A 24,433-nucleotide genomic window follows, 5' to 3' on the forward strand; every position below is an offset into this window, starting at 1 on the left:
CCCACCTCAGCCTCCTGAGTAGCTGGGACCACATGCACGCACCACCATGCCCAGCTAATTTATATTTTTATATATATATTTATATATATATATATATATATAATGTTATATATATATGTATATACGTACATATATATACACACATATATATGTGTATATATATATATATATTTTTTTTTTTTTTTTTTTTTTGGCAGAGGCCTTGCTGTGTTGCTCAGGCTGGTCTCAAACTCCTGAGATCAAGTGATCCTCCCTCCTGCCTTGGCCTTGCAAGGTCCCAAAGTGCTGGGATTATAGGCGCACTCAGCTTAAACTTCTTTGTTAAAATGTGTGTGCTTTAGTAGATTCCTTATCCATATCCTTTGCCCGTTATTTCCCTTCAGTGGTTGTCACCTTCTTATTCCTTTTCATTGTTCAGGAATCACATTTTTACAAAGGATTTACAAACATATTTGACCATACCTTACAGTTCCTTGGCTTTCATACTTTATTCCTAGCAGTCTTTTCTTACCTTTGAACCTCTTTGTTTCCATCTTTTAATGGCTTCTACTTTTTTCCTAGCCTTTATGTATTACCAGAAATCTATAATGGGAGGTAGCACTGTGCAATTTATAACATATTCCCTTCTCCAGTTTAGGGTACCCCTTTTCTGTCGAGGAAATACCTAGGGAAAAGAAGTTAGAACAGAAGGAGATAGGCCTTTATAGAAAAATAATTTCTTATCAGAAAATAAATACACTTTTTTTTTGTTTTTGTTTTTGTTTTTGAGACGGAGTCTCGCTCTTTCGCCCAGGCCGAAGTGCAGTGGCGCGATCACGGCTAACTGCAAGCTCCGCCTCTCCGGTTCACGCCATTCTCCTGCCTCAGCCTCCCGAGTAGCTGGGACTACAGGCGCCCGCCACCGCGCCCGGCTAATTTTTTTTTTTGTATTTTTAGTAGAGATGGGGTTTTACCGTGTTAGCCAGGATGGTCTTGATCTCCTGACCTCGTGATCTGCCCGCCTCGGCCTCCCAAAGTGCTGGGATTACAGGCGTGAGCCACCGCGCCCGGCCAGAAATACACTTTAATCACAGAGAACAGGTTAATGAAAATAAATTGTGATTTATTGAAAACAAACAGGGTTGTATTATGCATAAACTGGTAAGCCAGTGTTTAAACTTGACAATATATTACAAACACTTTTATGTTATTAATATTCTAATGTTATTTCAGTGGCCATATAATATTGCAGTGTTAAATATGCCGTAATTTAATCAACCCCTATTATTTCTAATTTTGCATCATTATAAATAAAACTGTTAGGAATATCCTTACAACTAAATCTTTTTGCATTCTATGACTCTTTAGACAATTCTAGAAACTCTTAGGAAAATCCTAAAGATGACTTTCTTAAAGCATGAACAGTTATATATATAGTATACATTTAATTTTTTTTCTGTTAGTTGGGTATCCGAAGATGGCATCTTGTTTTAATTTGTACTTTTTGATTTTTAAAAAAAGTTGAATATTTTAAAATGTGTTTATTGGCCATTCTCTTCTTTTTTTTAATCCACAACCTTTGCCCATTTTTCATGTGAGGGATTATCTTTTTACTGCTTTTCCTCGTAAGCTCAGCTATAGCATTCAATTTGTTACATGTAAATATATTAAAACTTCATTTAAGTATAATGCTTATTTTTGTTTTCAATATATTATTGTTTGTCAATCTTTGTTTTGTTTACTGCCTTTGGTGATATGTTTTGGAAGTTTCCCCCACTCCGAGATTTTATAAATATTCACATTTTCTTGTAATAATTTTGTGATCTAATTTTTTAAAATATTTAACTCTTTAACCCACATGGGATATATTTTCATGTTGGTGCAAAGTAGGGATATAATCTTATGTTTTGTTTTCCTCAAATGATTGGCCAGCCATCCAAAAGAGACGGCTAGTCTTCATATGAGAGGCAACTATTTATTAATTTACTTTTACAATTCAGTAATACAATGAAATGAGTATATACCTCATGTGTTTCATTAGAATAGAGTGCTTAAATCTTTTTTTTTCCTTTAGGTGGCTTTTTTTTTAATGGAAATAGTGTTTCTCATTCCTAAACAATATAGACTAGCAATCTGGAGATTACCCTTAACATATATCATTATCTAAAGGTACGGTTTTCACCACCTTCTTAATTAAAATATTTTTTGCTTCATAGATTTTCAAGCTTTAACTCTTCTATCTATCTCTGAATCATTTACTATTCATTTTTAAAGGTTAAAAAGGCAATCTGTCTTTAGAACAGATATCCTGATTTTAAAGTAAGTATTTTATCTTCATCTGTTTTCGTTATATAACGATTAAGCATGGAACATTGCATTTCTTGATTACTTGTTCAAATACATGCATTAATTTTTATTGTCATAATTTAAATCATGAAAATTAGGGGTAATGCAGATACTATGAATTTGTATTTTATTATAAGATTTAAACTGTTTTTTCTATTTATAATAAATGATGAGTTTAAAAGAAGTTGGTTAGCTGTGCTTTTTTCCTATTTGAAATGTTTTTCTTCTGAGCTCACTGTAGTTGGTTTTTAAGCTTGTCAAACTTTAGAATATGAGTCTTACACATATGATACACTAAGAGATGGCTATTGGTTTTAAAAAGTTCCGTTTTTCATATTCATGCCTATTCTTTAATCACTGGAACCAATACATAAAGTCTTTCATTCATTTAACAAATGTTTATTACACAATTATTATGTGCCAGGCACTGTTCTAGGCTCTGGGGATACAGCAGTAAATAATATAATTTTTCTCTTTTGTATTTTGTAAGAAAAAATCCCATTTGTTTTTATACGTTAAGGAGAGTCTGCACTTTAGCCTCATCACAAATAGGAAGCCATTGAAAATTTCAAGCAAGATTTGCCTTTTGGATGGATCATCTCAGCTAAAGGTAAAGCATGAATGGGAGAATAGCAAGTCTGGTAGCAAAGAAATTAGTTAGAAGACTATTTCACAGCTCGGCGTGGTGGCTCGTGCCTGTAATCCCAGCACTTTGGGAGGCTGAGGTGGGTGGATCACATGAGGTCAGGAGTTCGAGAGTAGCCTAGCCAACATGGTGAAACCCTGTCTCTACTAAAAATATGAAAATTAGCTGGGTGTGGTAGCAGGCACCTATAATCCCAGCTACTCGGGAGGCTGAGGCAGGAGAATCGCTTGAACCTGGGAGGTGGAGGTTGCAGTGAGCCGAGATCATGCCATTTCACTCCAGCCTGGGTGACAAGAGCGAAACGCCGTCTCAAAAAAAAAAAAAAAAAAAGACTATTTCAGTAATCTTCAACAAGAGATGACAGTGATGGCGAATACAGTGGTGGCAGTAGAGATCAGAAGGAAGAAGAGAACAAACCAAAAGTAGACTCCACTGTATTTGATGGTTAGGCGTGTATTAGGTTCAAGGAGTCAAGAAGGCAATGAAATGATGGAAATGCCATTGACAGAGCTAGGGAATACCAGAAAAGGAGCAGTTCAATTTGGAACTCCTTTTTTTTTTTTTTTTTTTTTTTTTTGAGATGGAGTCTCATTCTGTCGCCCAGGCTGGAGTGCAGTGGCTCGATCTTGGCTCACTGCAATCTCCACCTCCCGAGTTCAAGTGATTCTCCTGCCTCAGCCTCCCAAGTAGCTGGGATTACAGGCGTGCACCACCACGCCCAGCTAATTTTTGTATTTTTAGTAGAGATAAGGTTTCACCATGTTGGCCAGGCTGGTCTTGAACTCCTGACCTCAGGTGATCTGCCCGCCTCGGTCTCCCAAAGTGCTGGAATTACAGGTGTGAGCCACTAGGCCAGCCTCAATTTGGAACTCTCGAGTTTGAATACCTGAGAGACTTCCAAGTGGAGATGGCGAGTAGGTAGTTGTATGTACAGATCTGGAACTTAGGAGAAATTAGTTGGAGATGCCATCTGTGAGTTGATGCACCCCAAATACATAATTGAACCCATGGAAGTGCATATTGTCCAGCAAAAACAGGGAAAAATGAAAAGGGAAGGTGTCCTAGGATAAAGATCTCAGGAATAACGGCATTTAAGTTAAAAAAAAAAGTACAGGAATAGGAAACAAAGGAGCTTCAGAAAATTAGAAGGAAAACTGTAAGAGTTTGGTATTAGAGAAAGGGAAGAGAATGTGTCAAGAAGAGGGGGATGTCCATAATATGAGATGTTGCTGAAAGAGAAATGATGTCGGATGAGGACTGAAAAATATCCATGGGTTCTAGTAGAACAGCAGTCCCCAACCCTTTTGGCACCAGGGACTGGTTTCGTGGGAGACAATTTTTCCATGGACCAGAGGTGGGGGATGGTTTCAGGATGATTGAAGCACATTACATTTATTGTGCACTTTATTTCTATTATTATGGCATTGTAATATATAATGAAATAATTAGACACCTCACCATAATGTAGAATCAGTGGGAGTCCTGAGCTTGTTTTCCTGCAACTAGATGGTCCCCCGTCTAGGGGTGATGGGAGACAGTGACAGATCATCAGGCATTAGATGCTCATAAGGAGCATACAACCTAGGCCCCTTGCATGCACAGTTCACAATAGTGTTCTCACTCCTATGAGAATCTAATGCTGCCACTGACCTGATAGCGGGCAGATTTCAGGTGGTAATGCAAGCAGTGAGAAGCAGCTGTAAACACAGATGAAGCTTCTCTGGCTCACCCGTCGCTCACCTCCCGCTGTGCAGCCCAGTTTGTAACAGGCCATGGACCCGTACCAGTCCGTGGCCTGGGGGTTGGAGACCCCTGTAGTAGAAGAGTTCATAGATGATCTTGAGAGAGAAACTCTAGTGTGGCAGGAGAAGTTGAGCCAGGTTGGAGTGGATGCTGGATGGTGGAGTGGGTGGGGTGTGTGCGGGTAGAGACTGCAAATACAGAAAATGCCATCGAGAAGTTCCATTTGGAAGGGGAGGAGAGAAAAACTGTGGGACCTAGTGAAGGATGTAGGAGAAAGTTGTTATCATTGTTTTAGCAATAGGAGAATTGTGTGCATGTTTTTGGTGCTAATGGAAAGGACCCGAGATAAAATAATTGAGGGAAGAGATGGGAGCCAGGGCACGATAGAGCCTTCATTAAGAGGGATGCCCTTTCTAAGAGGAGGAAAAATGGATGCAAGCATAGTTGTCATGGTTTTGATAGAGAACCTCATGTGGCTGTCCATCAAACATCACTTGAGTCATAGGTGTCTAGAACACTATTTTGCACCTTAGAAATATTTGAATAGACACCTTAGAAATCTTTGCTGAGTAAGACAGATTCCTCGCATAGCTGCAAGAAGCTTAGCCAAACCCATTTCTAAATTAAAACTACCAGCAAAGAGGTACTTGAGTAATAGGCACAGGGTGCTCAGCTCTGGGCTAATAGCATTGAATGTCCTGATTTTTAGAATGTTCTGTGCTTAACTTCTCAGGCAACACAGGCTGAAGTATAAGAGTTGAAGGGATTTAGAATAAGTCATTGTTTCATTAAAAATTATTTTTGGCTGAAGGAGAAATAAGATTTGGATGGGGACACAGCTAAATCATATCATATACCATCTTAATTGGGGATGGTATTTTTTTTTTTTCTTGAGACAGAGTCTCGCTCTATGGCCCAGGCTGGAGTGCAATGGCATGATCTCGGCTCACTGCAACCTCCACCTCCCGGTTTCAAGTGATTCTCCTGCCTCAGCCTCCCGAGTAGCTGGGATTACAGGTGCACTCCACCATGCCCAGCTAATTTCTGTATTTTTACTAGAGCTGGGGTTTCACCATGTTAGCCAGGCTGGTCTTGAACTCCTGGCCTCAAGCGATCTACCCGCCTTGGCCTCCCAAAGTTCTAGGATTACGGTGTGAACTACTGCGCCCAGCCAAGTTCCTGAAATCTCTTATCTGTCTAAAAGCAGAATCTACCAAAAAACAAAACAAAACAAAACCCTCGATTGCCATAAATCCCCTCCCTGAGAGCAACATAGATGGAGATGACAAGTTGGCACCACACCCAAACAGACATTGTCACCAAACTCATATCTCCCATCTATTCTCCTAAGGGTTCATTTATCTTTCAAAAAAAATCTTTATTTTTCCATAAATGCCCTTCCCTAATCCCCTTCTAAGAAGTTATTAGTTCTCCCAGAAGTGTCCTCTGACCCTCCCCATCCCCAATTAAGATGGTATGTGATATGGTTTAGCTGTGTCCCCACCGAAATCTCATCTTGAATTGTAGCTCCCATAATTCCCATGTGTCATGGGAGGGACTCAGTGGGAGGTAATTGAATCATGGGGGCGGGTCTTTCTCATGCTATTCTCGTGATAGTGAATAAGTCTCATGAGATCTGATGGTTTTATAAAGGGATCTTCTCCTGTACATGCTGTCTTGCCTGCCACCATGTAAGACATGCCTTTGCTCTTCCTTCACATTCTGCCATGATTGTGAGGCCTTCCCCAGCCATATGGAACTGTGAGTCCATTAAACCTCTTTCCTTTATAAATTACCCAGTCTGTCCATTAAACCTCTTTCCTTTATAAATTATCCAGTCTCAGGTGTGTTTTTATTAGCAGCATGAAAATGGACTAATACAGTGTATAAGCCCCAAATTCTAACCACCTCCTTGAGTCACATTTCCTTGTGAATTTCCATGCCAACCAACATAATTAAATGTTGCTGTCTCTTGTGAATCTGTCTTTTATCAGTTTAATTTACAGGGCTCCAAGAAAAGAACCAAAGAGGGCAGAGGAACAGTTTTTCCTCTCTGACAGAATAAAAGGGCATGATGTTTGAAGCTTACTTCCAAATGGTTCTGAGAGAATGAGCTAATAGAGCAAATGTAGCAAAACATTAACAATTGTTGAATCTGGGTGAAGGATTTGAGGGAGTTTTTGGTACTGTTCTTGAAACTTTTTTTTGAAATTATTTCAAAATAAAATTATTTTTAAAAGAAGAATAAGCTTCTGCATTTATTCATCACCTCTGCTTTTTTTTTTTACTCTATTTCCACTTTCAACACTTTTTTACTCACAACTTCCTATGAGTGGAAAGGATGAGGAATTTGAAAGACAGGGCTGCCTTTTGGGTTTGTGCAAAATCTCTGTGTCTTAATTTGTCTATCTGTAAAATGAGGATAATATCTTCAAACGTTTGCTACATGAACTGAGATGAGGATACAGTAGGCCCTCAATAAATGTTATTGCCTACCCTTCTAAGACCAGTTCAAGTCCTATTTCCTTTATTAAGTCTTCCCTCATCACATCCATGATAAAAATTTATTTTATATCGTACCATACATTTAGCTAAATGGCTTTCTCATACATTACCTCATTGAATTATCCCAATAACCTTACAAGTTAGGTTATCATTTTCTCTACATCATAGATAAGGACATTTAATGAAGTTAAAAGATTTGGCTAAAATCACACAGTCGGTCAATAGAAATAACAGAATGAAAACTCAGGTTCTTTTAGCCCCAAGTTGTATCCTCTATGTTATACCACAATTTGATATTTCTCCTACTCAAGTGTTTTAAGTGTGGTAAGAATATACATAACATAAAATTTACTATGTTAACAATTTTAAAATGCACTGTTTAGTGGCATTAAGTACTTTCACGTTGTTATGCAACCACTATCCATCACTAGAACTTTTTCATCTTGCAAAAACTGAAATTCTGTACCATTTCAACACCAACTCCCCACTCCTCCCTTCCCCCCAGCCCCTGGTAACCACCATTCTACTTTCTGTCTCTATGAATTTGACTGCTGTAGATATAAGTGGAATCAGGCCTGGTGTGGTGGCTCACACCTGTAATTGCAGCACTCTGGGAGGCCAAGGCGGGAGGGTTGCTTGAGCTCAGGAGTTTGAGACCAGGCTGGGCAACATAGTGAGACCTGTTGTCTACAAAAAAATTAAAAAATTAGCTGGAAGTGGTGGTGCATACCTGTAGTCCCAGCTACTTGGGAGGCTAAGGCAGGAGCATCGTTTGAGCCCAGGAGGTCAAGGCTGCAGTGAGCTGTGATGGCGCCACTGCACTCCAGTCTGGGCAACAGAGCAAGACCCTGCCTCAAAATAAAATAAAATAGGCCAGGCGTGGTGGCTCACACCTGTAATCCCAGCATTTTGGGAGGCCGAGGTGGGTGGATCACCTGAGGTCAGATGTTTGACCAACATGCTGAAACCCCATCTCTATTAGAAATACAAAAAAAAAATTATCCGGGTGTGGTGGCGGGAGTCTGTAGTCTCAGCTATTCGGGAGGATGAGGCAAGAGAATCGCTTGAACCTAGGAAGTGCAGGTTGAAGTGAGCCAAAATCAGGCTACAGCACTCCAGCCTGGGCAACAAGAGCAAAACTCCATCTCAAAAAATAAATAAATAAAATAAAATAAAAATTTAAAACTAAAAAATAATTATACAAAAAGGGAATCATACAGTATTTGTCCTTTTGTGATTGGCTGATTCCACTTAGCACGATGTCCTCAAGGTTCATTTATGCTGTAGCATGTGTCTTAAGTTTTATAAACACTTGTGCTCATGGCACTCATGTACAACTTCGTGTGTCCTTATTTTCTTTCCTGGTTTATAAACTCCTTGGGGGCTGAAATCCCATGCTTTCTCTTGGTATTGCCACGCTCATAGTGCCTCGTTCATAACAGTGCCCAATGAACTCTCTTGAATGGGTAGATACAGGCCACTCTAAAGTAGAAAACGATCCCTCTCCTATACTTGATGAAACTTGTATACAGTTTCATCACTGCTGTCAGCTATTGGAGACAAGGAGCTGGACAAGCATAATTGTTCTCCCTACTATTGAAACGGGAGCCAGACGAATTAAGAAGATTCCCCAGGTTGGAAGTATGACAGGCAGGTGAACTTTAGTCAAGTAGAATTAGCTCTCTGCCCAGTGTAAAAACGTATATGCAGTATTCTTCAAAGAGGAAAAAATCTCATCTTTTAGTCATATGAAGTGAGAGAGAGTTTGGTCGTGGCTTTTTTTTTTTTTTTTTTTTCCCTGAGAAAAAGAAATGAGATCTGTCAAGACTGAACTTTGCAGGAGAGAAATCATCAATCTTTGGTGTCATCTGAGTGCATTGGAAATGCATTTGCCTTGTCTTGCGGTTTGATTGTTGTCTAATCCCTGTAAACATTAAAGGATAAAAACAGGAGAAATGGAACAAGAAATATGTGGGATCCAGGTTTTAGCTGTGCTGCCCGCTGGTGACTTTCGAGGTGAAGCTTTCAGGTCCCTTCTCCCTAGCACACCCATGCCTCCACCTCTATGAAGCAATAGAGCTTCAAGGGCAAATCTGGCCTCAGAGCCCAGAGGGGAATATGGCCACATCAGGGACCACCCCAGGAGACTCAAAGGCCTGCATCTCTTTGTCTTGCAGGAGTTGCTGCTGGACCACATGACACCAGTCCCATTCTTGAAGCAGAATGTTCAAAGAGTGTGTACAAAATGCAGAAGCCACCCATTTCCAAGAAAAACGGCTATGCTTCAACCAGCCTAAGTCTACTGCAAGCAAGGGCACCCATAAGAGATGGACCTTGAGGGATTCAACCTAACTAACTGTGAGTAAGGACGTCTAGCACATTTTGGAGAGTACTGGTATGAGACAGATTCCAAATAAAATAACCGGAGGCAGGCTGGGTGCAGTGGCTCATGCCTATAATCCCAGCTCTTAGGGAGGCAGAGGCAGGAGGATAGCTTGAGCCCAGGAGTTCGAGACTTGCCTGGGCAATGTAGCAAGACCCCATTCTCTACAAAAAGGAAAAAAACAAACAAACAACAACAACAAAAAAAAAAAAACAAGAAATAACTCTAGGCAGCCTGTAACATACTAAATTATTTCCCATTAGCACATTAGCACATAAACACCATTAGCACATCTTTTTGAATATGTAAGGTCTGTGGAGATAAGACTACACACAGGATCTCAAAGAATCTCCCTTACTAAGGGGGAAATCAAGTTGGCTTTTATCCTAGCAACTTACTTAAGCCTTAACATACTTACAATTGTTTTACATAGTATATAATATTTCCCATACTTGATTGTGTTTCTTAAGTTTCATTTTTAATTTTCAAATCAAAACAGGAAATATGGGCTGGGCACAGTGTCCCACACTCTCAGCACTTTGGGAGGATAGCTTGAGGCCAAGAGATCAAGACCAGTCTGGGCAACATAGCAAGACTCTGCCTCTACAAAATTTTTTTAATTAGCCAAGCATGGTGGCATGCATCTGTAGTCCCAGCTACTCGGGAGGCTGAGGCAGGATTGCCTGAGCCCTGGAGTTCGATACTGCAGTGAGCTAGGATCATACCAACATGCTCCAGCCTGAGTGAGAGAGGAGGACCCCGTCTCAAAAAACTGTCAAAAAAAAAAAAAAAAACAGAAAATATAGAGAAGAGGTAGCTATTTAGAATGCTTGTAGAACTTTTGTAACATTACTGTTTTTTAGACTGAGGAACATTCTCCAAAAATATGATTTTGCACACACTTTTGATTGCCTAACCAAAAGTCATTTCTCTCTCTCTTTCCCTTCTGGCAGGGCCTGCTTCCCATAAGAAGGGCTAAAAATGCCAGACACTCTCTTTCAGCCTCTTTTGCAGGTAGGGCTGGCCACATGACCCATCTGGTCAAATTAACCTTTCAGCCACACCCTCCCAAAAGGCTTTTAGAAAGATTTTTCATGGTAATGAAAACAACAGATATTCAAGGAGAGCTTTTTTTCCCCACCTCTTCCTTCCTGACATTTCATAGGCATTTCATTTCATGGGAGCTATGGAAGCTATATTGCAGCCATTAAGCAGTAGACAAAGCGAACGTGCTGAGGATGGCAACAAACAGGGATGGAAAGAACCTGGATCACTGATGATGACACTGTTTAGCTTGGGACCATCACCTTCTGTATTAGTCAGGGTTCTCTAGAGGGAGAGAACTAATAAGATTTATATATATATACATAAAGGGGAGTTAATTAAGTATTAACTCACACAATCAAGAGGTCCCACAACAGGCGGTCTGCAATCTGAGGAGAAAGGAGAGCCAGTCCGAGTCCCAAAACTGAAGAACTGGGAGTCCGATGTTTGAGGGCAGGAAGCATCCAACACGGGAGAAGGATGTAGGCTGGGAGGCTAGGCAAGTCTAGTCTTTTCACATTTTTCTGCCTGCTTTATATTCTACCCATGCTGGCAGCTGATTAGATGGTGCCCACCCAGATTAAGGGTGGGTCTGCCTTTCCCAGTCCACTGACTCAAATGTTAATCTCCTTTGGCAACACCCTCACAGACACACTCAGGATCAATGCTTTGCATCCTTCAATCCAATCAAGTTGACACTCAGTATTAACCATCACACGTTCTAAACACCTTATTATGTAAAATGATACAATCCTGTTGGATATGCCACCTTTTTTTGAAACAGGGTCTCACCCTGTTGCCCAGGCTACAGTGCAATGGCATGATCACGGCTCACTGCAGCTTCAAACTCCTGGGCTCAAAGTGATCCTCCCATGTCAGCCTCCTGAGTAGCTGGAACCACAGGCATGTGCCACCATGCCTAGCTAATTTTTTTTTTAGAGAGAGACAGGCTCTTGCTATGTTGCCCAGGCTGGTCTCGAACTCCTGGGCTCAAGTGATCCTCCTGCCTCAGCATCCCAAACTCCTGGGATTTTAGGCATGTGGAGCCATTGTGCGTGGCTGGATATTGTTTTTACCACTTTTAGCTGGATATTGTTATTCACAGCTGAAAGCACCTTAACATATTCAATGCGATTTTAAATACAGTCCAAGTGGAACCTATTTTACACCAAATATTGACTAACTTTCTGTCAGACATTGGAAGGCCATGTTCCTAAACATAAGCATATGAGAAAATCCTTGTAATGATGAGATAAAGGGAGTTTGCCAGTTTAAACACCCGCGGGTTGCCCTGGCAAATGTCAGGTGTCACAGGGTCGGAAAGATTAGTTCATAATGTACTAGGAAAAACATCCTGCAATGTATATGAAAATATATATTGTAAAAAATCTTTTTGGCTAAATGTATTGGCACGATTATTAGAATACAATCTAGAAACATTTACTTTAAATTTTAAGAGCAAAGACAAGACTTCTAATCTTAATTAGTCAAAGTTTTTCTTAAGGATTTCAATTCAAATGTGTCCTTTATTCTGATTGTGATGGGACTTTTGATTTCTCCTATTTGAAATGCCATGTGAATGTCTTAGAAAACCCAGACATCTGACCTTATATTTTACTTGATAAATTGAAAAAGCCACTTGCTGATAAAATTTTGTTATTCACAGGTATTACATGAGTGAATTCATTTTTCTACTTGCTAGTTTTCTAGACAACTATCTTCATTAAAATTTTAGATTACTGTAATTTACATGGAGTTCACACATTCAATTTACAGATTTAGAATACTTAATCAATTGATGTCCATTTTATTTTTTCATTTAGTTGCTGAGATAAGACATCCATTTTTCTCAAAATGTATCAGATCAAGCTAAAAAAAAAGAAATGAAATTAATATGAAAATATCTATTAAAGGACATCAGTGTCCAAGCTCACCATCCTTTCTAACTATCTTTCATCTGAACATAGTCAGGGCTTATACAATAGAATTAAATATACCATCCCAGAGGACACCTGGCAGTGTCCAGAGACATTTTTGGTTGTCACAACATGGAGGCGCAGTGCCACTGGCATCCTTGGTAGAGGACAAGGATGCTGCTACACATCCCACAGTGCACAGGACAACCCCCACAGCAAAGAATGCTCCAGCCCAAAATGTCAATAGTGCCAGGGTTAAGAAACCCTGTTCTACACCAAGCACCTTGATGTCTAAAATACAACACAAACTGGTTCTTTGTTCATTAGAATTCCTACAGAGGAAAGAATAGATTACTATCATTTTACAGTCATCTCAACAATTGAAGTCAGGAGAAGCCTTGATTCTTATAAACTGCAAAACATTAGTTTGAAGTCTAGTTTGTAGGTATCATTTGTTTTCTATGAGGAATTCCTTCTTTTGATGTTATATTTTCTTTCATTCAAAGACAGGACTTACATGAGCCTTCCTTTCTGCTGTTCCTTTTCTTAAAAAAAAATGTCTTATGGCTGGGTGCAGTGGCTCATGCCCGTAATCTCAGCACTTTGGGAGGCCAAGGCAGGCGGATCACCTGAGGTCAGGAGTTTGAGACCAGCCTGCCCAACATGGTGAAACCCTGTCTCTACGAAAAATACAAAAATTAGCTGGACACGGTGGCAGGCGCCTGTTATTCCAGCTACTCGGGAGGCTAAGGCAAGAGAATCGCTTGAACCCAGGAGGCAGAGGTTGCAGTGAACCGAGATCGCGCCATTGCACTCCAGCCTGGGTGACAAGAGTGAAACTCCGTCTCAAAAAAAAAAAAATTGTTTTATATCTAGTGTGTCTTGAAGTGAACCTGAACTTCACTAACATTGCCAAGAGTCTACCCCAAGACGTGGACCATAGATGTGAGTTCAGTATAAATTATATGGCTATAGGAAAGTCACTTAGAGAAACTTTCACTGTGCCTCAGTATCTCCCTGAGATGCCTGCCTTGCTTGTAGAGATAATGTGAAAACATTTCACTTGGAAATAAAGTCACCATCCAAATCTAAGATCTGATATAAAAGAGATGATAAAGAACACTAAGTTCACATTACTCTTCCTGGTATTTTAAATGTCTTTTCTATCTTTGAAAAGCTGACCTGGAACACAGAGAAGGGAATTTTTTTTTTCCTTTTAAAGATTCCTATGGAGGATTGTTCTGGAATCCATCAGAATGTTCTAATACCTAGCCTCTAATTTGTCATAATAAGGCATGACACATTACAATGTAGATTGATAAAACTGGTTTGGAAAGCAATTTATCCACACTCATCAACCTCAAAAATGTTCATGCCCAATGCCTGTAGTCCCAGCAACTTGGAAGCCTGAGGCAGGAGGATCGCTTGAGCCCAGGAGGTTGAGGCTGCAGTGAGCCATGATTGTGCCACTGCACTCCAGCCTGGGTGACAGAGCAAGATCCCATCTCTTAAAAAAAAGAAAAAAGTTAAAAAGAGTCCACGCCCTTTTAGGCAGTAATTCTTTTTTTGGAAATTTATTCTAAAGTTCTAAAGTAATAATCCTAAATATATACTAGGCTTTCTACAAAGAGATGTTCCTAAACCTGTGATTTACCACAGTGAATAACTGTAAACTACCTAACTGTCCAACAACCAAAATAGTGGAATGGATACATTAAATTCACTAACTTAACTCAGCTTTATGTCTACATGAACATAGTAAAAATTATTTTTATAGAATATGTGTGATAACATGGGGAAATATTTTTATTAAAAAATAAAACAATATGAAACTATACTCACTACATGATTATAATAGCATAAGAAATCAAGCAAAATCCTATAAATTGGTGTAATCAAAGCTGTGTACCCAGAAATTCCACTTCTAAGATCCTTAATCCTAGGGAAATGATTAGCTACAGGGATTTTTTTTTTTTCTGAGACAGGGTCTCGCTCTGTCACCCAGGCTAGAGTGCAGTGGCACGATCACAGCTCACTGCAGCCTCGACCTCCCAGTCTCAAGCAATCCTCCTGCCTCAGCCTCCCAAGTAGCTGGGACCACAGGCAGGCACCATCACGCCCGGCTAATTTTTTGTATTTTTAATAGAAAGGGGGTCTCCATATGTTGCCCAGGCTGGCCTTGAACCCCTCTGTTCAAGTGATCCTCCTGTCTTGGTCTGCTGAGTAGCTGGGACCATAGGCACGTTCCACCATGCCTGGCTAATTTTTTTTTTATTTTAAATAGAGATAGGGGTCTCCCTATGTTGCCCAGGCTGGTCTCGAACTCCTGGGCTCAAGTGATCCTCCTTGGTCTTTCCAAGTTCTGGGATTACAGGGGTGAGCCACCATGCCCAGCCTGTTACAGGGAAATTAATCACCATGCAAAAAAGTCGAAACAATTTTAATTTTTTTTAGTAAAAAAGTGGAAACAACTCAAATGTCCAACAACTCAAATAATAAGAGATGCGTAAAAATCAATTACGGTACAACAATACAGTGGAAAGATGAGCAGCCAATAAAATGATGTTGAAACACGTTTATTAACAAGACAACATGTTCATAATATATTAAGTGAAAATTCAGGCTTAAAAGGGTAGACACATTAAAAATCCCTTAAAAGAGTAGGAAGAGGTAAGAATGTGTATGTTCAGTATATAAGTCCAAAAGAATATTCTCTGCAAAAGTAGCTGGTTGTCTTTGAGTGGTAGAATTATAAGGAGATTTTTTTTTTCATTTTGCTTGTATGTATTTTTCGAAATTTCTGTAGTAAGCATGAACTATCTGCATAAAAAAAGAAATACATCAAATGTTATCAAAGCCTACAGAATAGAACTATGGATCTCTTCTTATTACATTTTGTTTCCTGTATTTTCCTAATGGTCTTTACTTATTTCACTTGAGAAGAGGTGAACCATTAGAAGAAAGCACTATCCGGTGTCTTCTTTAGGAGAAATATCTTGGGTCAGTCACTTTCCTTCTTTAAAATACCTGTCTCAGATGGGATAGGGTAGGTTATGCTGTTGTAACAAACAAGCCCAAACAACAAAGATGTATTTCCCACTCATGCTACATGTCCATCACAGGTTGTCTGGCAGCTCTGACCGCCATAGTGACTCAGAACCTTAGTCTGTGGATCAGCTACCATGTCAAACTGTGCCAGTTGCCACACTAGAGGAAAAAAGAGCTCTGGAAAGTCACACATCAGCAACAAGTTGCCCCAGCCTGAAAGTTACTCTTATTACACAGTGGCCACAATTAGTCACATGGCCCTATCCAATTCATAGGAGGCCAGGACATGGGTAAGACAGATTATGTTTGGTGAACGGCACCTAATTCACCAGCTCAGAACATTGTAAGCAAATATTGAAAGAACTATAAGGAGACATCAACAAATTTATAATCACAGTGGTCATATTCCTGGCACCTGCTACTGTAGTCTGTGGCCAACTTTATCTTGTTAGATGCAAGCATTGTAGAAAGCATACCAATGTGTCAGATGGAGACCAGTTGCCACAAGCAAAACAGGACATGCTTTTTGTGAAATCAAAAACTAACAATGCATTTGTTGATTGTGTGGCAAAAAGAGGATAAAGGAGCATGCAATACATACGCAATATATACATAGGTGACAGCATTTCACATTTACTCGGGATATACTCAGCTGGGCAAAGAAAATTGTAGCTTTCATCCCTTCTTGGCCTTTTGGCTAAGATCAAGTGAAAATTGTAGCTTTCTTCTTTCTCTCTGACTGCTCTGATTTACCTCACAAGCCCCCACCCTCTAGGTAGAAGTAGGGAGGGGAAACAAGATTGAATTCAATTTATTAACCTCAATTCAATCCCTAACTTAAAATGTCTTTGTGGGTAAATAGTCCCTACTTGGATGACTCAGTTAAGTGCTCAACCAGTAAGAGTTCCACCCCTTCCTCTGCTCCTTTCCAAGATGGCATCAGGTGTGTGAGGGAGGGGTGTAGCTTTGGAGACCTCTTAGTGGCAAAGGGCAGATGTTAATCCTCCCAAAGAAAAGCAAGATCCAGACCTCCCCATTTGCAGTCCTCTGCCTTCTCAGCAACCTAGCTAACATACTTCCTGCCCTAGGACTTCAACCTAGAAGGAAGCGATCAGAACAACTGTGTCTTGTGACCTGCCCCCAGACTGGGAAGTGGGAAGGGGTTAGGGAGGGGGGAGGGTTTTTCTCTCTACTCTTTACAGCCTGACCATGCCTCCCTTCTATCCTGCACACAGGCCTGTGTATTGAAAAGGAAGCTTTGTTATTTAGAAATCCCTTTCTCCAAAAAGCCTGGGTTTTATATATATTGTTTTACTCAAAAGAGGCCAAGAAAATCAGCTTTGAAATTCAAAGCTGATGAATGGGCTCTGTTCTAGACAGCACCTGTTCGTCCTTTCTTTCCTGGGACAATAACCTTGATGACTCTATCAAAAGGCTAGCAGGAAGTGGGATTTAAAGGGGAAAATCAAAATGCATTGGTTTAATTATTATAAAAGGTGTTCCTCAGAGGCGAGATTGGAAGAACTAAAGTAATGAGGTATCTATTTTCTTGGCTGTCTTGTGAGATGTATCTCTTTTCCTCACAGAGACAAAGTAAAATTTTCAAAAATATGACCCTAATGAAAATACAGAATGAACACCTCACTGGTTTTATGCATTAATGAGGGAGCCAGCAGGATGGTAAATCTGGTACAAAGGAGAATTCAAAAGATATGTTTAAAAAGAAAAAGCATGCCGAAATAAGCTTACTAAGTTAGAGGCAAAACAGGGCAATAAAACCATAACCTTTGAGGTCACCCCTTCTACTGCAAAGAAATCATTTGCATCTCTACTGGACAAAAACCTCCAAGTTAACATGCCTGGGCTTTAATCAAGCAACAGTGCATTCTCACAGAGAACTGAATAATCCTTGGGTGGGCGCTTTAAATGGAGGCCTTTTAATAAAGCTTCAGTCTGGAAATTGAAAGGACAAGCAGTCATTCTGTCTCCTTGTTTCCAGGTGTTAGGTAATTTTTCTTAACATACTCAAACATTGCCTACATCCCACCCACCTTAACACACACAAAACCGATCTGCTGAGAGCTGATGGAAGAAAGAGTTATGAATGGATTAAAGAGCCTATAGGAATAAAAGATGGGGATTTAAAGCAAGCACAGGTTTCTGCTTCAGAGACACAAGTGAATGGGTATCTTTAAAAGCCTAAATATGTGATTTTGTTGTAAACCTACATATTTTAAAGATGTTTAAATTACGCTTTCCTTTTAAAATTACCTTTTCCTTTTCAAAATCTAGATAGACTTAACTAGGCCTGAATGATTCCATTACCAAAGCAGATTAATATGGTTAAATGAAACTGTAAGGGCATGTGATAATTATTTTTCAGTTGTCACAGGTTACATAGGTTACCATAGCCCATTAATGTATGCTAGCCTATTAAGTTACTGAAATGACAAACATTATTGCATCGATAAGGCATATTCAGTCCAGTTGAGATAGAAACCATTCTCCAAATGATAGTAGTTTCCAAAAGAAACCTATTTTTAAAAATCTCATAACAGCTCATTTGTAATACAGCTTGCTGCTCAGATGGTTTCTGAAAAGTATCTTCTTAGAGAGAAATCAAAACATCTCATATACTCCATAAATATACACACCTATTATGTACGCGTAAAAATTAAAATTTTAAATTTTAAAATTTTAAAAAACAAAACAGACAAAAAAAAGAAAACAAATATTATAATAGGACAAAGCCTACTCTGAATAGCAGGTTCCCCATGGAATTTTGTTTTCTGAGTAGAGAGCAAGATCATCTGATTAAAAGGCTCAAATTCTCTGAAACTTTCTATTGAAGGCTATGATGTGTAACATGAGCGCATTTCCATATTAAGGTTATTCAGCTGTGGAAAACACCAGAACCCACACAAAGCTTTTCCTTTAAAAGCTGAATAAAATCTAAGACACTGCATGTTGGTGCAGAAATGAGAAATCTAAGTTGTTGTTCGCTGACTGCTTGGCTGTGTGTGTTTTTTTTTTTTTTCCTGCAAGAAAGCAGAGACACACATTTGAGAAAGCATTGTAACTCAAAAGCATGACCACAGCTAAGAAATTTAAGTAACCATGTCACAGAAACACAGGAACATAGATTCTGTTGGCTAATCTAAATAGATAATTAATCATGTTCCTGGCAGTGTGGAATGCAGATTTGCATGCTATTCACAGAGACTTTGGCAGGCAGGCTGAGAGCTTTCTGGAATATCAGAATCTGGAGTGTCTTGAGGAGCTGGTAAGTCAGTCATTCTGAGATCTACAGATTTCTTGGATCAGTAACATTTAAAAATAATGTTGAAGACCAGCATGGTATTAACAACTTCTTATTTTGGCAAATAATAATATTGTAAAAAATACTTACTATTTATAATTGCCATTATTTCATAAAAGATATGGTTTCACAGACTATTTTTTTAGGCTAGTTCGTAATTGGATTCGCTGTTGGATTTGGGGGTCAAGATATCTTTAAGTAACTTAACTTATTTCTCAAACCTTTCATAAGTGACTGAAAGGCATATTGAAGTACCTGCCATGTCCAGTCAAAATGAATGTTACTTCTGAGACAGGTGAATGTGACAGGACTAGACTGGCTCTAGATAGGAGCTTGGATCTTGAGAGTTCTTCTGTGGGATCATCTTGTCTTAAGGAGGGTTTTTTCAAATGGTGGGGAGATAGGAGATTTAAATATTGACCAAATTCCAACTGTGGCATGTTTTCAGCTTTCTTCTGCCCTCCCTGACCTGTAAATAAGAATTAAATCAAGTAATACTGCCCAAATGCCTATTACTAACAGTGCAGGGTTAAGCTTTGGGACAAAACTTCTCAAACTTAAGTCTTCATAAGAATAGTCTGAGAACCTATCAAAAGGCAGATTCCTGGGTCTTAGTGCCATGGGTTCTGAAGTCTGAGATGGCAACCATGGAATCTCAATTTTTAACAAGCATAACATGATTTTGGTGGAAATGGTCCGTGGGCCCCATCTTTAGAAACATTAGCCTAGGAGTGAAAAAAAAAAAACACTTCCAATTTCTGTAATGACATACTAGGTATTCAGACCAACTTTCTTGCTGAACATAATATGTTAAACCTCTTCTTAAAAGCATCAAAAAGCTAACAAAATAGTGATAAATTACTGGGATGCGATTCAGAAAAGAATGGAAATCCACAGAAGTGAGCCTGACATTCTGAACCACTTTTGCCTTCCCATTACTAGCAGATCCTGAAGAGACAACTGAGAGGGTGAGCTGTCTTCTTAGCAAGCTCATGGGAATAGGAAGGCAAAAATCAGACATCGGGACCTGCCAAGGGTTGACACATGGTAAACCAGTCCTCGTCCCATACACATGCACACACATGTTAGGAGGAAGGGTGAACTGGAAGTGGCTTGCTCAGAGAATCTCACATCTTGAACTTGGACTAGGGTGATCAACTTGGGCCTCAAATTATTCTGACAAATAATTTTTCTTATATAGTGCCCAGCACACAATCAAAGATAACCAAGCCTAATTGGGACAGAAAACCTTGAGCAAGAACCTCTAGGAAAAATGAACAACAAAATGGATTTAGAATGACTCCAGATATGAGTAAATCTAAATGAGTATTAACTATGTGAAACAATTAGTATAGTCCCCTGTGGGAATACATAGATAGATAGATAGATAGATAGATAGATAGATAGATAGATATTTTAAATGCATGATAATCATAGTATAAAGTCTTGAGAGGAAAATAAATGGAGATAAAAATGTTCTAAATTCCTAACATTATCCAAAAGGAGAGGAAAGGTATCAATTAAAGTTAGATATTTGGCTGGGTGTGGTGGCTCATGCTTATAATCCCAGCACTTTGGGAGGCCAAGGCAGGAGAATTGCTTAAACCCAGAAGTTTGAGACCAGCGTAGGCAACATAATGGGACTCTGTCTCTACAAAAAATAAAAAAAGTTAGCTGAGCATGGTGGTGCACGCCTGTAGTCCCAGCTACTCAGGAGGCTGAGGCAGGAGAATTGCTTGAGCCCAGGAGGTCAAAGCTGCAGTGAGCTATGATTGTACCACTGCACTGCAGCCTGGGTGACAGCAAGAGACCTTGCTTCAAAAAAATGAGATATTTAGGCCAGTCGCGGTGGCTCACGCCTGTAATCCCAGCACTTTGGGAGGCCGACACAGGCAGATCACCTGAGGTCAGGAGTTCGAGACCAGCCTGGCCAACATGGCGAAACACCGTCTCTACTAAAAGTATAAAAATTAGCTGGGCGTGGTAGCAGGCGTCTGTAATTTCAGCTACTCAGGAGACTGAGGCAGGAGAATCGCTTGAACCCAGGAGGCGGAGGTTGCAGTGAGCTGAGATTGCGCCACTGTACTCCAGCCTGGGCGACAAGAATGAGACTCCATCTCAAAAAAAAAAAAAAAGGATATTTATAAGTGAAACATGCATGCTGTAATTCTAGGCTAACCACCAAAAGAATAAAAGAAGAGTATATGATGTATAAACTGAAAGAGATTTTTAAAAATTGAATGTAAAAGTCATCAGTCCAAAAGAGGGTGAGGACAGAAAGAAAAAGAAACACAAAACAAAACAGACAAGAAAAGAAAAAGTACATAATAATAAGATTTTAACACAAATATATCACAATTACATTGAATGTAAATGGACTACATTTTCCAGTGAGAAAACAGATTATAAAATAGAAAATAGACAAACAAGCAGTACTACTATGTGTTGTTTAAAGAGACACATTTAAACGTAAAAATAAAGAAAGGTAGAAAGTAAATAAATGACAATAATTTACTCCACAATTGGTAACTGAAAGCAAGTTGATATAGCTATATTAATATCACACAAAATAGACTTCAAGCAAAAAGCATTATTAGAAATAAAGCAAGTCACTTCTTAAGAAAAGTTAAATTCACTAGGAAGACAGAACAATTTTAAATTTGTGCATAACTAATAACCTGGCCTGAAAATATATAAAATAAAAATTGAGGCTGGGCATGGTGGCTCACACCTGTAATCCCAGCACTTTGGGAGGCTAAGGTGGGTGGATCACCTGAGGTCAGGAGTTCGAGACCAGCCTGGCCAACATGGTGAAACCCCGTCTGTACTAAAAACACAAAAATTAGATGGATGTGGTGGTGCATGCCTGTAGCCCCAGCTACTAGGGAGGCTCAAGCAGGAGGATCACTTGAATGCAGGAGGCGGAGGTTGCAGTGAGCCAAGATCATGCCACTGCACTCCAGCCTGGGCAACAGAGTGAGACTACATCTCAAAAAAAAAAAAAAAAGAAAGAAAGAAAAACAAAATTGAGGCTCATACCTGTAATCCTAGCACTTTGGGTGATGGAGAAAGGAGAATCAATTGAGTACAGGAATTTGAGACCAGCTTGGGCAATATAGCAAAACCTTGTTTCTACAAAAAAAATTTTTAAATAGCCTCATGTAGTGGCATGTGCCTTTAGTCTCACTCAGCTACTCGGAAGGCTGAGGTGGGAGGTTCACTTGAGCCTGGCAGCTTGAGGCTGCAGTGAGCTATAATGGTGCACTGCACTCCAGCCTGGGTGACAGAGTGAGACCCTCTCTCTAAATAAATAAATAAAAATAAATAAAAAATAAAAATTTATAAAAATAAAAATTGATAAAATCAAAATTAAAAGTACATCAAGGAGAAGAAAGAAAACCCCCAGTCATTGTGAGTGACATTAATACAACTTTCTTAGTAACTGGTGGAACCAATAAACAAAAAAAAGTCAAAACACATATGTGTACTCTACACAGCCGCTACAGGTACGACCATGTGAAATAGTAGACAAGGCCAAAGTCCAGGGAGGATCATGTACAAGGGAATTCCTCCCAGAGGGCAGGACCAAGGTCTGACAGGAGAACTTCCTTCACTACTAGGGAGTCTTTGCGCATCTTGCCAAACACGATTTCGTCATTTCTATGCACCAGTGACTGACGAGTGCTTTCCATTCTACATTTTCCCAAATGGGAGTTTTCTCTGTGTCTATCCTGTTCTTGCTCTATATGATGTGCCAAATGTTGAGTAGTGTTGGGGGAGTAATGTTCTATTATTATATAGATTTCTGGATCATGAGACAGTAGATCTAGACCTGATAGAAAAGACTGCACGTTACACAGAGGTGTCAGACTTTGTTTTGTACTCAGGAAATGGATCGTACTTTGAGGGATGAGTGTATTCTGTGTGTATGGATATTTAGATGCCAGAGGTTTGGAAGTGTCAGAGTTTGCTAATTGTTCCCTGTGTCCATTTTGCCTTTCTACTTTTTGGTAACAGAGGCCCCCTGCATGTGAGCTCATCACATGGCTGCCCGGCAAGATACTACATTTTCCAGTCTTCCATGAGGATAGATGTGGTCACGTGACTGAGTCTGGGCCAATGGGATGTGTGTAGATGTGATGTATATTTATCTCCATAAAGATGAAGCTGGTTGCCCTGAATATTCTGTCCATCAGTTGGGAAGTGGCAATGAATGGAACAATGCCTTGGGCCCCAAGACGGATCCTGAGTATGGCAGAGCTGCCCACCAGCCTAGGTTCCTATATGTCATCATGGGACAGAGCTGCCTTGTAGACCCTGGACTGTTATATTAATATAAAAAAGAAATAAACTTCTATCTTATATAAGCTATTGTACTTTAGGATTCCTTTGCTACAGCAACATTGCCTGTACCCTAACTAATACATGTGTTATGGAGTGACAAAGGTCAGTTGGGAAGGTGGGGGTGAAGAGGAAACACTTGTTGTTAGCCTTAATAGTAAACTCAGGAGTCAAGATTTGACAGGCTTGGTAATGTGAAGCATTGCCGAGGGACAGGGCAGATGGTGGTGCCATTAATGGTGATTGGGTAGCTGATGAAATGGCTTCAGCTACCTTTTGTGTGATGTTTGTAATTCCACATCTCTGGGCAATTCTCTCCAGAGTATCATGTCCATATCTCCCTTGAGATCAAATAGGCTCCTCAAACTCAACATTTCTAAGCTTAGCTTTCTTCTCCCCAAAGCCTTTCCTTCTTCCTGTATTTTCTATAAGGTTAATGACTGTACCTTTCAATATCACCCTTCACCCACTTGTCAGTAGAAACTAGAATCACCCTTGATTCCTCATTCATCACCACACAGTGTCTCATAAACACCACCTACTTCTATTCTTTTTCCTCTATTCCCATCGCTAGTGCCTTAATTCAGGTCTTCATTATCTCTTACTTCAAATGTTGCAGTAGTCTCCTTTCTTTTTTTCTGTTTCTTTTTCTTCTTTTTTTCAGCATTCTTCTTTCTAGCTGATTTCTCTGATTTCAATCTCCCCCATGCCTCATACTGCTCTCAGGACTCTTTTTCCAAATAACAAATTTGATCATGTCACTTACCCTGTTTAGACATCTTCTTCGATTTCTCAATTTTCTTTTTTTGAGATGGAGGAGTCTCACTCTGTCACCCAGGCTAGAGTGCAGTGGCGCCATCTCGGCTCACTGCAGCCTTGACTTCCCAGGCTCAAGTGATCCTCCCACTTCAGCCTCCCTAGGCACACGCCACCATGCCCAACTAAATTTTTGTATTTTTGGTAGAGATGGGGTTTTGCCATGTTGCCCAGGCTGTTCTCAAACTCCTGAGCTCAGGCGATCCACCCACCTCAGCCTCCCAAAGTGCTGGGATTACAGGCGTGAGCCATCGCACCCGGCCATCTTCTCCAATTTCTTTTAAGCTAAGGAGCCTGGACTGGTCCCCTTTGAACCCTTATCAAGCCCCTCAGTACACTGTGGGCCC

General features: G+C 39.8%; 1 long non-coding RNA gene across 2 annotated transcripts; it reads left to right on the forward strand.

Moving 5' to 3' along the window:
- Positions 1 to 170: 170 nt before the first annotated feature.
- Positions 171 to 23,296, forward strand: LOC124905259 (uncharacterized). Of its 2 annotated transcripts, XR_007068412.1 has the most exons (3): positions 171 to 2,935; positions 9,397 to 9,577; positions 22,947 to 23,296. It is a non-coding gene; the product is annotated as an uncharacterized LOC124905259 (long non-coding RNA). The 2 variants fall into 2 exon arrangements; XR_007068411.1 differs by lacking the exon at positions 171 to 2,935 and having other exon boundaries at positions 8,443 to 9,577.
- The last annotated feature ends 1,137 nt before the right edge of the window (positions 23,297 to 24,433 follow it).

Source organism: Homo sapiens, chromosome X (genome assembly GCF_000001405.40).
Source record: "Homo sapiens chromosome X, GRCh38.p14 Primary Assembly".
Lineage (NCBI taxonomy): Eukaryota > Metazoa > Chordata > Mammalia > Primates > Hominidae > Homo > Homo sapiens.